At 40.4% G+C, this 13,450-nt stretch overlaps 1 long non-coding RNA gene across 1 annotated transcript in view, besides 2 other annotated features; it reads left to right on the top strand.

Moving 5' to 3' along the window:
- Nucleotides 1–13,450, top strand: part of LOC105373454 (uncharacterized) — a 148,852-nt gene that overhangs the window by 63,161 nt on the left and 72,241 nt on the right. The gene's annotated exons all lie outside the window — the stretch shown is intronic.
- Nucleotides 2,491–2,755: a silencer, noted in NCBI's record as "fragment chr2:18633458-18633722 (GRCh37/hg19 assembly coordinates)". NCBI's record gives its function as "represses an EF-1alpha promoter that drives an FKBP-Casp9 reporter gene in an ReSE screen in HepG2 liver carcinoma cells {active_cell/tissue: HepG2}" and the evidence as "EXISTENCE:reporter gene assay evidence [ECO:0000049][PMID:32094911]".
- Nucleotides 6,405–6,981: an enhancer, noted in NCBI's record as "OCT4-NANOG hESC enhancer chr2:18637372-18637948 (GRCh37/hg19 assembly coordinates)". NCBI's record gives its function as "activates a minimal SCP1, AML or CMV promoter by ChIP-STARR-seq in primed H9 embryonic stem cells {active_cell/tissue: H9 hESC(primed)}" and the evidence as "EXISTENCE:reporter gene assay evidence [ECO:0000049][PMID:30033119]".

Below are 13,450 nucleotides of genomic sequence, written 5' to 3' on the forward strand. Positions count from 1 at the left end.
TAGCCTTGGAAAATTAGTTAAGCCATCTGTGCCTCACTTACCCCATTGGTAAAATGGGGATGATAATGCCTGACCCTTAGAATTGTGAGGATTAAATGAGGTAGCACATGGAATGTTCAGAGAATGATACTTGTCACATAGAAGGCACTCTGCCCACTTTAGCTATTGTAATTATCACTAGAAGTAGTGGTTCTCATAGTAGGTATTTCAGAGTATTCATTTCATCACTATAAGAAGTGCCAAGGAGTATTACAATGCTCAGGACTCTTTGTTCTACAATAAATTCTATTTATTGTAGATAAATTTAATAAGTTTATTGTTCTATATAAATAGATCTGAGTGCTTCTTAAACTCTTGTGTATGAGTTTGAGTTCACCTTGTCTTCCACCTTCTTTGCCTGCCAGCCAGCTATCACTGAGTACTCTAAGGTGTTCTGTTCCTAAAGGTCCCCTTTAAATGGAAATTTCTAATTTGACCATTAACTTGGAATCAACGTAATGCAAGAGGGCCAGGCATGGTGGTTCACGCCTATAATCCCAGGACTTTGGGAGGCAAAGAGGGAGGGTCACTTGAGACCAGGAGTTCAAGATAAGCCTGGGCAGCATTTGTAGAGCCAATCTCTACAAATAAAAAATAAAAGTAAGAAAAACCATCCACATGTGGTGGTATGCATCTGTAGTACAGCTACACAGGAGGCTGAGGCAGGAGGATCACTTGGGCCCAGGATCCAGGGTTACAGTGAGCTGTGATTGTGCCACAGCAGGCCAGCCTGGGCAACAGAGTGACATCCTGTTTTTTTTGTTGTTGTTGTTGTCGTCGTTTTTGTTTTTTAAAGCATCTATTTTCTGGACATCTGGGTATGTGGAAATAATTGTTTTCTGGATCAATGATGAATATCCCTGTAATATTTGTGTTATAGCTATATGTTTGTGTGTGTACTAGCATCACTTTCTTTTTACTCTCTTTATCATGATAGCGTTTCCCATCCTCACCCTTGGTCATCAGGCAACAAACTAGCTCAAAGCACCACAAGGCCATGGTTGGAAAACAGAGAACTGAAGTGATTTCAGGGATCAGGAGCTACTTCAGTAGTCTATGATTTATGTACATGAACAATTCCAGATCTCGGGTATATTTAGAGATGAGGGACACTGGCCAGACACTATGGTAGCATTTCTTCTTATAATTTGAATTCCAACTCATATGACAAAGAATGATGTTTTTCCTTGTCAGTGCATTGCCATGCTCAATGTGACAGCTGGCTCCTGCTAGTGGGCAGAGGCAGGGCTATGGCTCAGCCCCACTGGTGGGTGTGACTACTGCTACACAGTCCCACCTGGTTCAGTGAAGGGGCAAATACCAGGATGTTTAGCTCTACAGGTGCTTGTGTCATTCTTCATGTATTTCCTGCTGTCTAACCAGTTGGTCATTTAAAGTTTATAAATCTAACTCCAAGGTGGAGACAAGTTGGATGGAAGATTGTGTGTTTAGGAAGAATATGCCTAAGGGACTTTTAAACAGAACAGAATTGAGTTGTTTGTGTCACTGTTTTATGGCTCTGGATAGTCTGTTCTAGCTGGACAAGATTTCAGGATTTATGGCGACATCCAGCTAAAGAATGGTATATTTTTAACATGCTCACATGTCACTTTCCAGCTAAGGGAGGCTTCTCATGGTTCCTGCTGCTTTGGCTGGACCAGTTTCCCTTCTGGCCTCCTGAACAGGCTGTATCTTGAGAATGTGAGCCTTCCTAGGATGAGACTTGCTCTTTTTCCTGCATATAAGCAGCATGGCCAGACAAAAAGAAGATCCCATGGAAACAGGAGCATCTGCTTTGGGGAAGTATGGCACAGTGGAAAGTTTGTGGGACTAGAAACTATAAATTCTGGCTTCAGGACTCAGCTCCATCACTGACCTAACCATGTGATGTGCCTTAAGCATATGCCTGGACCTCTTTGGGGATCAGTGTGGTAACCATGGAAGCATGCCACTCAGATCTTCCTTAAGGAGGAAATTTGTGGTAAGAATTGATAAGCTGATATCTCCAAGCTGCCGCACCCCCATGCCCACCGTGGCATGCTTGCCAAGGCCACATCCTTTCTGAGATGCTCCCAGTGACTGAGCACAGCAGAGCTAAAGAGCCAAGCCCAGCAGTCCTGCCCGACACAGGGCTTCTCTAATGAGTAGAATGTGCCCTCAGGCTCCCTGTCGTCTGGCTGGCACTCCAGCACTGCACTGGAGTCTTCAATTCTTCCTATACCACACTTCCTCCTCCTCCCTACTCTCCCTTTTCAGGTATCAGATTTGCATCCCACTCCGCAGACTCCCCCTGCCTGTTCCTGCTCCTTTTCCCTTTTTTCTTCACAGGAGTTTTCCCCAATAAATCTTATGCACACAAAGCTCCATTTTGGTATCTGCTTCTCAGAGCACCTGAACTGACACAAAGAGTGAATGTACGTTATTTTTTGCCTACCTCGTACATTTCCCCCCTTCTTATTCTTACTGGATCCCCTTAGAGATCCAACCACCTTATTGCTCTTCTCCATCTGCAAACATGAGCTAATGGTGAGACTCACATATACATCCTGCCACCTCATTCTGTTGCTATATGGGTGGGCATGGGCACCGGGTCAGACTAATTACTGTGCTCATCTTCCTGGTCAAAGTGGCTCAGGTGGGCGTGGGACTGAAACCAGTCCATCAGAGTCCTTCCGTGGGGCATGGGACACTGACATTTAAAGACACAGTTCTCTCCTTCCTGTTGAATGTGGGCTCAGGGTGTGAACTGAAAACTGCTGGAAACCAGAATTCTTACCATAGAGAAGAGACTGAGACAAGGAAGCCAATGGTCAGAGAAGAGGAGAAGCAATGGCTGGGGTCCAGAGTCCCGGCCAGGGGCTCACTGAGCTTCCCAGATTCCAGTAGTTTTTCCTTTGAGTCTAAAATCCACTCCAGAATTCTCCCACTATATCCCCTGCCTTTAATTATTTTTTTTAACTTCAGTTGGTTGAATTAGGTTTCTGTTGCTTCCACCTGAAATAATTTTCAGTAATAGAATCTGTTTCTAATAGACTGATTCCATAAATTAGTTCTGTAAACTGAGGTTGATTTTACCTTAGACATGGAATGAAATGTAGGGTGATATGAAACAATAACAAACCCAGGCATGAAACAGGCAGTCAATCAATACTTTTTTAATGAAACTGTAGAAACAAAGTGAGAGAGCCCAGGTCCAGAAATAAGGGTATAGTTTTCAAAAAGGCATAATAGTGCCTGGAACATTATAAAAATGCAGTAAATAATTTGTTGACCACAACTAAGAATATAAAAATCACTAGTTTCACTACAAGGTTGTTTCACCAGATTACCTGTGCTTCTTAATGACAGGTCAAGGTGGCTGAGAATGGCAACCCTTCTGAAACTGGGAGCCACCATGTGCTTTCAAGTCAGAATCCACCAGCTGGAGAAGAAGAGAGGGGAGAAAGGCAGCAAGGGGAGGGGTCTGGAGGCAGTCAGAGGGAGTGAGAAGAGGCAAGAGAAATAACTGTATGAGGGGTAGAGAACAGGGCATCGAGGAGCAGTCGGCCACTTGTGGCCTTTTGGATCCTTTAAATCAAAGGAGCCTTGATCCAGGGCCAGATCAAGATGCATGGGTTCTCCAGACAAACCAATAGTTTGGCTCCCCATCAGACCAATATCTTTTCCATGTTTGTTCAACACTTATTGCGGGCGTGGCCTGGGTGAGTTGGTGTCAGCAGGGAATGTTGTTGCTATTGATGACTTTCATGCCAGGCCACTGCTTGGTTTGACAAACAGTTGATTTACTCATGATCTGCATGTCAGGAGTCCCATGGGGAGGGCAGGGTAAATTGACAGTACATTGTGACTTGGTTGGTGTCAGCCTATCTTCTAGGTAGGAAATATGAGAATAATCTGTGGGTTATTCTCACCAAGGAGGAATACCAAGCAGGAATAATTGGAGAGGAGACTTGGAGGAAACTTTCCTCTGATTGCCTGCTAGGAGACAGCCCAGGGCAGCAGACAGGATGGTTTGGGGAGGGCATGGCCAGGAGGACTAGCTTCTTCATACATATTATCCAGCTGCCTGTGTTTCTATCTCTACTCATCACTTATCCTTCAGTCTCTCATGCACTTTACATTGAAATGGTCACAGTGAACTGCCTTGATTTCTAATGGAGGAGTAAACAGGTGCCATATAAAACTTAGCCCTGGACCCTATGCATTTTTTTTAAGTTTATGGAAGGATGTAATTAAAATCTTTGGGTGGTCAACTTACCATCATAAATCATAACCAGGTATGAATGACAGCAGGGCACCACAAGAAGGTGTGCATATGCAGAGAGATAAAGCAGAGTATGCAGACCTAGAAAAGCACGTGCATGAAGGGCCCTGTGTACCAGGTGCAGTCAGGGGAGGCTCCACTTCACAGGCAGTAGGGAGCATCTCCTGGTGACAGCCCAGGGTGGCAACAGTGCACTGAACACATCAAATGAGCTCTGATTAATACCATTTAGACACAGCAGTGATAGAAACATGGACCCCAGAGAGTGCTCTCCAAAGAAGCTCACATTCTAATGAAGTTAGAGGTACACAAAACAAGTAAAAAGCAGAAGGAGGGAAGGAAAAGGGTCAGATAGTTCTGACTAGGAAAATGAAGGAAACTGTCATAGAAGAGGTGGCATTGAGTGGGACAATGAATGACAGGTGAGGATTCAATACAGAGAATGGGGGGAAGGCAATTCATACTTAGATACTAGCACGTCCAGAATGAGGAGACATGAAATTAAAGCAAAGAAACTGATATCAACAGGCTGTGGCTTCGGAAATATGAGTTGTACTAGCAAACTTCTCACTTACGCTACTCTATTTTCCCATGGTCCCTGAAGGTTGTATGTCTACTTAGAACTCTTCTCCTCATTTGCCCCATGGAGCAAGAAGTTGGTGTCCTTCTCTACAACCTGGAGCAGAGATGGGCCCTTAGCTGGTGCTCAGTAAGGGCTGATGTGTGGGTGGATATTCAGAGTCTGCAGAAGAAAAAGTAGAAATGACTTCAGCCAGCCTGGGACTGCTCTAAGCAAGATGTTTTCCTAGGATGGTATCCCAGTCTCAAAAGGGATGGGCCACAATGTGGTACAAAACTCTAGGGAACAGCATCACAGCTGCCCTGCGTCTGTTATAATATTAGTCCATTGACGTTGATGCAGCGAGCCTCTACTTTTCAGTTTACTTTGGGTCTTGGACATGGAAGCAGAGCTTGAAGTCACCACACTTTCACACGGACTTTTGCCAGTTGGATGGTTACTGAGTAAAGCAAGTCCAGACCTTTGCTAATATATTTACAATGCAAGCATTGAACCCCATTCTTTTGTTCTTTTTTCCTCTAATAGGTTCTTGAAGTCGCCTTTAGAACGTTTGGGCTGTGTGAGCTGTGAGCTTGGAAGGGAACTATCTCATTTCTTTTCCCTAGAGAAATTTGCCATTCTTTGAATAAATAATCAAGGAGGTCTTTGCAGACAATTCTGTCCTCTGGTTGAAAATGGACTGTGATTCAGTCTGAAAACATCCTTACAACTTTACATCATGTTTCCCTGTCCACTGATATTGCTAACGCTGACACATAACAGGTAATAAATACATGCCCATTAAGTGATTGCTCAACTGATGGGCTGATGGAGTTGTCCCAGAGTTTGTTTTCCTTTATTTTCAAAATCACTCCTTCATTCTAAGTGCCCCAGTCACCCACCTTGCTGACAGGGCCACCTCACTGCACTCTGAGGCCCCCTGCCTGCCATCCATGTCACCTCTATTGCCAGGGAGCAAATATGTGGTATTTGTTGTCCGCTCTGATTAGAGTGGTATTTACTTTGTTCCTGCCAAAGAATTATGTTTCAGTCGGCCCAGTTTTCTCAGTTTTGGCAAATCCTGGTTGATATATCTCAATTACAACCTAATGACTCATATTGCAGCATCTCTTGATTTAAAATTAGCACAACAGATTGGATTTGTTAAATCGAAGAGAGCTGGGAAAGTAAAGCCAATCCTTCATGCTCAGTGGCAGTCTCTGTAGCCTGTGGTGCCACAAGCAAATCTGAAAGGCGGAGGGACCTAGAAGAAAAGAATATAATCTATTAGGAGTTTTGATAGCTTAGCCTGAGTTGGGTGAGTAATTACACTTTGTAAGATTCTGTGGAGTGGTCATTGTGCTTATGAAAATCATATTAAATTGTGCAGTAGTAACAAACTAATCCCAGAAGTCTCAGGAATTAATATGTTTATCTGCTTACACATCATGTCCGACACAAGTCAGAGATGGATTCTAACCAGCTCAAGGACCCGGGCAGAACGAGGCTCCCTTCTCTGGTCTTTGTGGCAGCAAAGGAGAGAGATTAAATAGTTTCACAAGGGCTTTTCACTGTTTCAGCCAAGAAATGACACTTGTTATTTCTGCTCATATTTCTTTGGTCAGAACCAGTCCCATGGCCCTGCTCAGTTGTGAGAGTATAAATGCAATTCCTTGTGCACTTGAAAGGAAAAAAAAATGGTGAATACTAGCATTGTCAACAACATCTGCCCTTTTGGTCATTGAATGATTGCCTCACTTTTTTTCCCCACACATTAAACACCTATTGTTCACAATAGAAATCACAATAGCAAATGCAAAGTCTCCTCCATTCATCACAAGTAGGTCAACATCCAGGATATTGGGGGCATGAATGGTAGCCCATGCATTAGGTTTGGGAATTTTTTCCTCTCATTCCAAAGATTCATATCCTAAAAAGGAAACATGCAAGAATGAAACAGGGGCATATACTATAATGAAATAAGATCATCATAAGAAATACACCATGCAGGTGAAGGGAAAATGAGACCACTCATCAGTAACTGAAAGGACAATTCTGAGATCTGGGAGATACTCTGGGTTCCCCTAACCCGAGGAAGGAGACTGTTCCTTTATTAGGCCCTGATTTTGCTCTCTGGAAGCAGCTTCCTAATTTATTCTTTTAGGCCCATGGATCTGCCCTCTGGCTAGTTCTTTGTTTTCCCGTTATTATCCTTCTCAGCTACTTCTGATATAAGCATGGGGTGGCATACCCTCTTTGGGAGCTGAGGGTCTTTCTCAGACTTTTCTTCCCATTATTCTTTCATTTCAATCAGCCAATTATTTCCTGAGCTCATCTCTTTATTAAAATACTTTGCTAAATGCCACAACTATCAGCACACTATTAACATCCTCATTTCTCACCCCATCTCCTAGAGTCATAACTTCATTAAATTTCTGATCTCCCTCCCACACCACTATTGGTAATTATTTTACCAAACATTTTTGCACTGCATGCCGTGAATCTCCATTTTCCTCCACCTTGAATATTATCCTCAGGAGCCTCTGCCTACCATCTGACATGTAAGCCAGTGCTACATAATTTACTATTTTTTTTTTTGGCTGATCCTCACTCTTGGTAGCAATTTTGTGCTAACAATATCAGATTAAGTTACGCTGCAATGACAAATTAACCCTATAATCTTAGTAGCTTGTTACACCAAATCCTTGTTTATCTGCTCATAATAAATACTATTAACTAACTGCTAAACATTGTGTAGACCATATAATCCAAGGCCCAATGGATTAGTGTTCCTAGATTTAAGTGAGAATGAGGAAAAACAAAGCTAACATTAACTAAGCACCTGGTATGCTCCAGAAATTGGTTAATGTTAATTTATATCAAAGAGGCTCAGTAACTTACTCAAAGCCACTGAGCGAGGATTTGAACCTAGTTCTTCCCAATTCCAAATCTCAAACCTTTTATGTTTCCTTTCATTCTTTTGAATCTCTACATTGCAGTTTTGTAGTATTTGACACAGGAGAGAAGGTGCTGTAAAGAAGTGGTTGTAGAATTTTCATGTGCATATATGTCATCCAGGGATCTTATTAAAATGCAGATTTTGATTTCTGGAGATAAGCCTGGGATTCTATATTTCTAACAAGACATCAAATGATGCTGATGCTCCTGGTCTTTAAGCCATTTTTTGAGTAGCAAGTTTCCAGAGCATTTTATTATAATCAAAGACAATCTTGTGCAAAAGTTTGCATATGTAAAGTTATCTAAAGCAATGTCTTTACTGATCTAGAAAGAAATTGTTTTAAATAACACATTGAATAAAAAAATTTAAAAATTAGATTCACAATTACCACTGGTAAGAGATTAAATATGTATTAGTTCTCAATGTTAAGAGCACTTTGCATTAAAAATAACTAGATAGAAAGACACTAATGAGCCTGTTTTTATGATTCATTCAGTAAGGATATGCTTTGAATCAAAGAAAACGGAGGGTCTTGACTAAAGTGTGCTGAGCTTTTGATAATTCATTGGACCAAAACACATGTTATTGTAAGATACCTCTTAATTTTTGTTTCATCTAAAATTGGAAAATATGAGAGGAATACACTTCTTAAAAATACACTTCTCAGAGCATATTTTTTATAAAATTTTTAAATTTTTTTCTTTTACTTCAAGTTCTGGGATACATGTGCATAACGTGCAGGTTTGTTACATAGGTATACATGTGCCATGGTGGTTTGCTGCACCCATCAACCCATCATCTACATTAGGTATTTCTCCTAATGCTATCCCTCCCCTAGCCCCCAACCCATGACAGGCCTTAGCGTGTGATGTTCCCCTCCCTGTGTCCATGTGTTCTCATTGTTCAACTCCCACTTATCAGAACATGTAGTGTTTGGTTTTCTATTCTTGTGTTAGTTTGCTGAGAATGATGGTTTCCAGCTTCGTCGATGTCCCTGCAAAGGACATGAACTCATCCTTTTTTATGGCTGCATAGTACTCCATGGTATATATGGGCCACATTTTATTTATCCAGTCTATCATTGATGAGCATTTGGGTTGGTTCCAAGTCTTTGCTATTGTGAACAGTGACACAATAAACATACGTGTGCATGTGTCTTTATAGTAGAATGATTTATAATCCTTTGGGTATATACTCGTTAATGGGATTGCTGGGTCAAATGGCATTTCTGGTTCTAGATCCTTGAGGAATTGCCACACTGTCTTCCACAATGGTTGAACTAATTTCTACTCCCACCAACAATGTAAAAGTATTCCTATTTCTCCACATCCTCTCCAGCATCTGTTGTTTCCTGACTTTTTAATGATCACCTTTCTAACTGGCATGAGATGGTATCTCATTGTGGTTTTGATTTGCATTTCTCTAATGACTCTGTAATCTAATCTAGTGATGATGAGCTTTTTTCATATGTTTGTTGGCTGCATAAATGTATTCTTTTGAGAAGTGTCTGTTCATATCCTTCCCCCACTTTTTGATGGGGTTGTTTGTTTTTTTCTTGTTACTTTGCTCAAGTTCTTTGTAGATTCTGGATATTAGCCCTTTGTCAGATGGATAGATTACAAAAATTTGCTCCCATTCTGTAGGTTGCCTGTTCACTCTGATAGTCTCTTTTGCTGTGCAGAAGCTCTTTAGTTTAATTAGATCCCATTTGTCAATTTTGGGTTTTGTTGCCATTGCTTTTTGTTTTAGTCATGAAGTCTTTGCCCATGCCTATGTCCTGAATGGTATTGCCTAGGTTTTCTTCTAGGGTTTTAGGTCTTACATCTCAGTCTTTAATCCACCTTGAGTTAATTTTTGTATAAGGTGTAAGGAAGGGGTCCAGTTTCAGTTTTCTGCATATGGCTAGCCAGTTTTCCCAACACCATTTGTTAAATAGGGAATCCTTTCCCCATTGCTTGTTTTTATCAGGTTTGTCAAAGATCAGATGGTTGTAGATGTGTGGTATTATTTCTGAGGCCTCTGTTCTGTTCCATTGGTCTATATATCTGTTTTGTACAAGTACCCCATGCTGTTTTTGTTACTGTAGCCTTGTAATATAGTTTGAAGTCAGGTAGCATGATGCCTCCAGCTTTGTTCTTTTTGCTTAGGATTGTCTTGGCTATGCGGGCTCTTTGTTTGGTTCCATATGAAATTTAAAGTAGTTTTTTCTGATTCTGTGAAGAAAGTCATTGATAGCTTGATGAGGGTAGCATTGAAACTGTAAATTACTTTGGGCAGTATGGCCATTTTCATGATATTGATTCTTCCTATGCATGAGCATGGAATATTCTTCCATTTGTTTGTGTCCTCTCTTATTTCCTTGAGCAGTGGTTTGTAATTCTCCTTGAGGAGGTCCTTCACAATCCTTGTAAGTTGTATACCTAGGTATTTAATTCTCTTCGTGGCAATTGTGAATGGGAGTTCACTTATGATTTGACTCTCTGTTTGTCTGTTACTGGGGTAGAGGAATGCTTGTGATTTTTTCACATTGATTTTGTATCCTGAGGCCTTGCTGAAGTTGCTTATCAGCTTAAGGAGATTTTGGGCTAAGACGATGGGGTTTTCTAAATATACAATGATGTCATCTTCAAACAGAGACAATTTGACTTCCTCTTTTCCTAATTGAATACCCTTTATTTCTTTCTCCTGCCTGATTGCCCTGGGCAGAAATTCCAGTACTATATTGAATAGGAGTGGTGAGAGAGGGCATCCTTGTTTTGTGCCAGTTTTCAAAGGGAATGCTTCCAGCTCTTGCCTATTTAGTATGATATTGGCTGTGGGTTTGTCATAAATACCCCTTGTTATTTTGAGATACATTCCATCAATACTTAGTTTATTGAGAGTTTTTAGTATGAAGGGATGTTGAATTTTGTTGAAGGACTTTTCTGCATCTATTGAGAAAATCATGTGTTTTTTGTCATTGGTTCTGTTTATGTGATGGATTACATTGATTGATTTGCATATATTGAACCAGCCTTGCATCCCAGGGATGAAGCTGACTTGATAGTGGTGGATAAGCTTTTTAATGTGCTGCTGGATTCAGTTTGCCGGTATTTTATTGAGGATTTTTGCATCAATGTTCATCAGGGATATTGGCCTGAAATTTTCTTTTTTTGTTGAGTCTCTGCCAGGTTTTGGTATCAGGATGGTGCTAGCCTCATAAAATGAGTTAGGGAGGATTCTCTCTTTTTCTATTGTTTGGAATAGTTTCAGAAGGCATGCTACCAGCTCCTCTTCGTACCTCTGGTAGAATTCGGCTGTGAATCCATCTGGTCCTGGAATTTTTTTTGGTTGGTAGGCTATTAATTACTGCCTCAATTTGAGAACTTGTTGCTGGTCTATTCAGGGATTCGACTTCTCCCTGGTTTAGACTTGGGAAGGCGTATGTGTCCAGGAATTTATCCATTTCTTCTACTATTCTAGTTTATTTGCATAGAGGTGTTTATAGTATTATCTGATGGTAGTTTGTATTTCTGCGGAATCAGTGGTGATATTCCCTTTATCATTTTTTTATTGTGTCTATTTGATTCCTCTCTCTTTTCTTCTTTATTAGTCTTGCTAGTGGTCTATCAATTTTGTTGATCTTTTCAAAAAACCAGCTCCTGGATTCATTGATTTTTTTGAAGGGTTTTTCATATCTCTATCTCCTTCAGTTCTGCTCTGATCTTAGTTATTTCTTGTCTTCTGCTAGCTTTTGAATCTGTTTGCTCTTGCTTCTCCAGTTCTTTTAATCGTGATGTTAGGGTGTCGATTTTGGATGTTTCCTGCTTTCTCTTGTGGGCATTTAGTGATATAAATTTCCCTTTAAACACTGCTTTAGCTGTGTCCCAGAGATTCTGTTACATTGTGTCTCTGTTCTCATTGGTTTCAAACAACTTATATATTTCTGCCTTAATTTCGTTATTTACCCAGTAGTCATTCAGGAGCAGCTTGTTCAATTTCCATGTAGTTGTATGGTTTTGAGTGAGTTTCTTAATCATAAGTTCTAATTTGATTGCACTGTGATTTGAGAGACTGTTTGTTATGATTTCTTTTCTTTTGCCTTTGCTGAGGAGCATTTTACTTCCAATTATGTGGTCAATTTTAGAATAAGTGCCATGTGGTGCTGAGAAGAATGTATATTCTGTTGATTTGGGGTGGAGAGTTCTGTAGAAAAAAGAATTAAAGAGGTTTGTTTGGTCCAGAGCTGAGTTCAAGCCCTGAATATCCTTGTTAATTTTCTGTCTCATTGATCTAATATTGACAGTGTGGTGTTAAAGTCTCCCACTATTATTGTGTTGGAGTCTAAGTCTCTTTGTAGGTCTCTGAGAACTTGCTTTATGAATCTGGGTTCTCCTGTATTGGGTGCATATATATTTAGGATAGTTAGCTCTTCTTGTTGCATTGATCTCTTTACCATTATGTAATGCCCTTCTTTGTCTCTTTTGATCTTTGTTGGTTTAAAGTCTGTTTTATCAGAGATTAGGAATGCAACCCCTGCATTTTTTTGCTTTCTATTTCCTTGGTAAATATTCCTCCATCCCTTTATTTTGAGCCTATATGTGTTTTTGCACGTGAGATGGTTCTGCTGAATACAGCACACCAATGGGTCTTGAATCTTTATCCAATTCGCCAGTCTGTGTCTTTTAATTGGGGCATTTATCCCATTTACATTTAAGGTTAATATTGTTATGTATAAATTTGATCCTGTCATTATGATGCTATTTGGTTATTTTGCCCATTAGTTGATGCACTTTCTTCATAGGGATGATGGTCTTTACAATTTGGTATGTTTTTGCAGTTGCTGGTACCAGTTGTTCCTTTCCATGTTTAGTGCTTTCTTCAGGAGCTCTTGTAAGGCAGGCCTGGTGGTGACAAAATCTCTCAGCATTTGCTTGTCTGTAAAGGGTTTTATTTCTCCTTCACTTATGATGCTTAGTTTGGCTGGATATGAAATTCTGGGTTGAAAATTCTTTTTTTTAAGAATGTTGAATATTGGCCCCCACTCTCTTCTGGCTTGTAGGGTTTCTGCAGAGAGACCTGCTGTTAGTCTGATGGGATTCACTTTGTGGGTAATCCAACCTTTCTCTCTGGCTGCCCTTAACATTTTCTCCTTCATTTCAACCTTGGTGAATCTGATGATTATCTGTCTTGGGGTTGCTCTTCTCGAGGAGTATCTTTGTGGTGTTTTCTGTATTTTCTGAATTTGAATATTGGCCTGTCTTGCTACATTGGGGAAGTCCTCCTGGATAATATCCTGAAAAGTGTTTTCCAACTTGGTTCCATTCTCCCCATCACTTTCAGGTACACCAATCAAACATAGGTTTGGTCTTTCCGTATAGTCCCATATTTCTTGGAGGCTTTGTTGATTCCTTTTCATTCTTTTTTCTCTAATCTTGCCTTCACGCTTTATTTCATTAAGTTGATCTTCAATCTCTGATATCCTTTCTTCCGCTTGGTCGATTTGGCTATTGATACTTGTGTATGCTTCACGAAGTTCTCATGATGTGTTTTTCAGCTTTATCAGGTCATTTGTGTTCTTCTCTAAACTGGTTATTTTAGTTAGCAATTTGTCTAACCTTTTTTCAAGGTTGTTAGCTTCCTTGCATTG

The sequence above is a fragment of the Homo sapiens genome, chromosome 2, assembly GCF_000001405.40.
Source record: "Homo sapiens chromosome 2, GRCh38.p14 Primary Assembly".
Classification (NCBI taxonomy): Eukaryota; Metazoa; Chordata; class Mammalia; order Primates; family Hominidae; genus Homo; species Homo sapiens.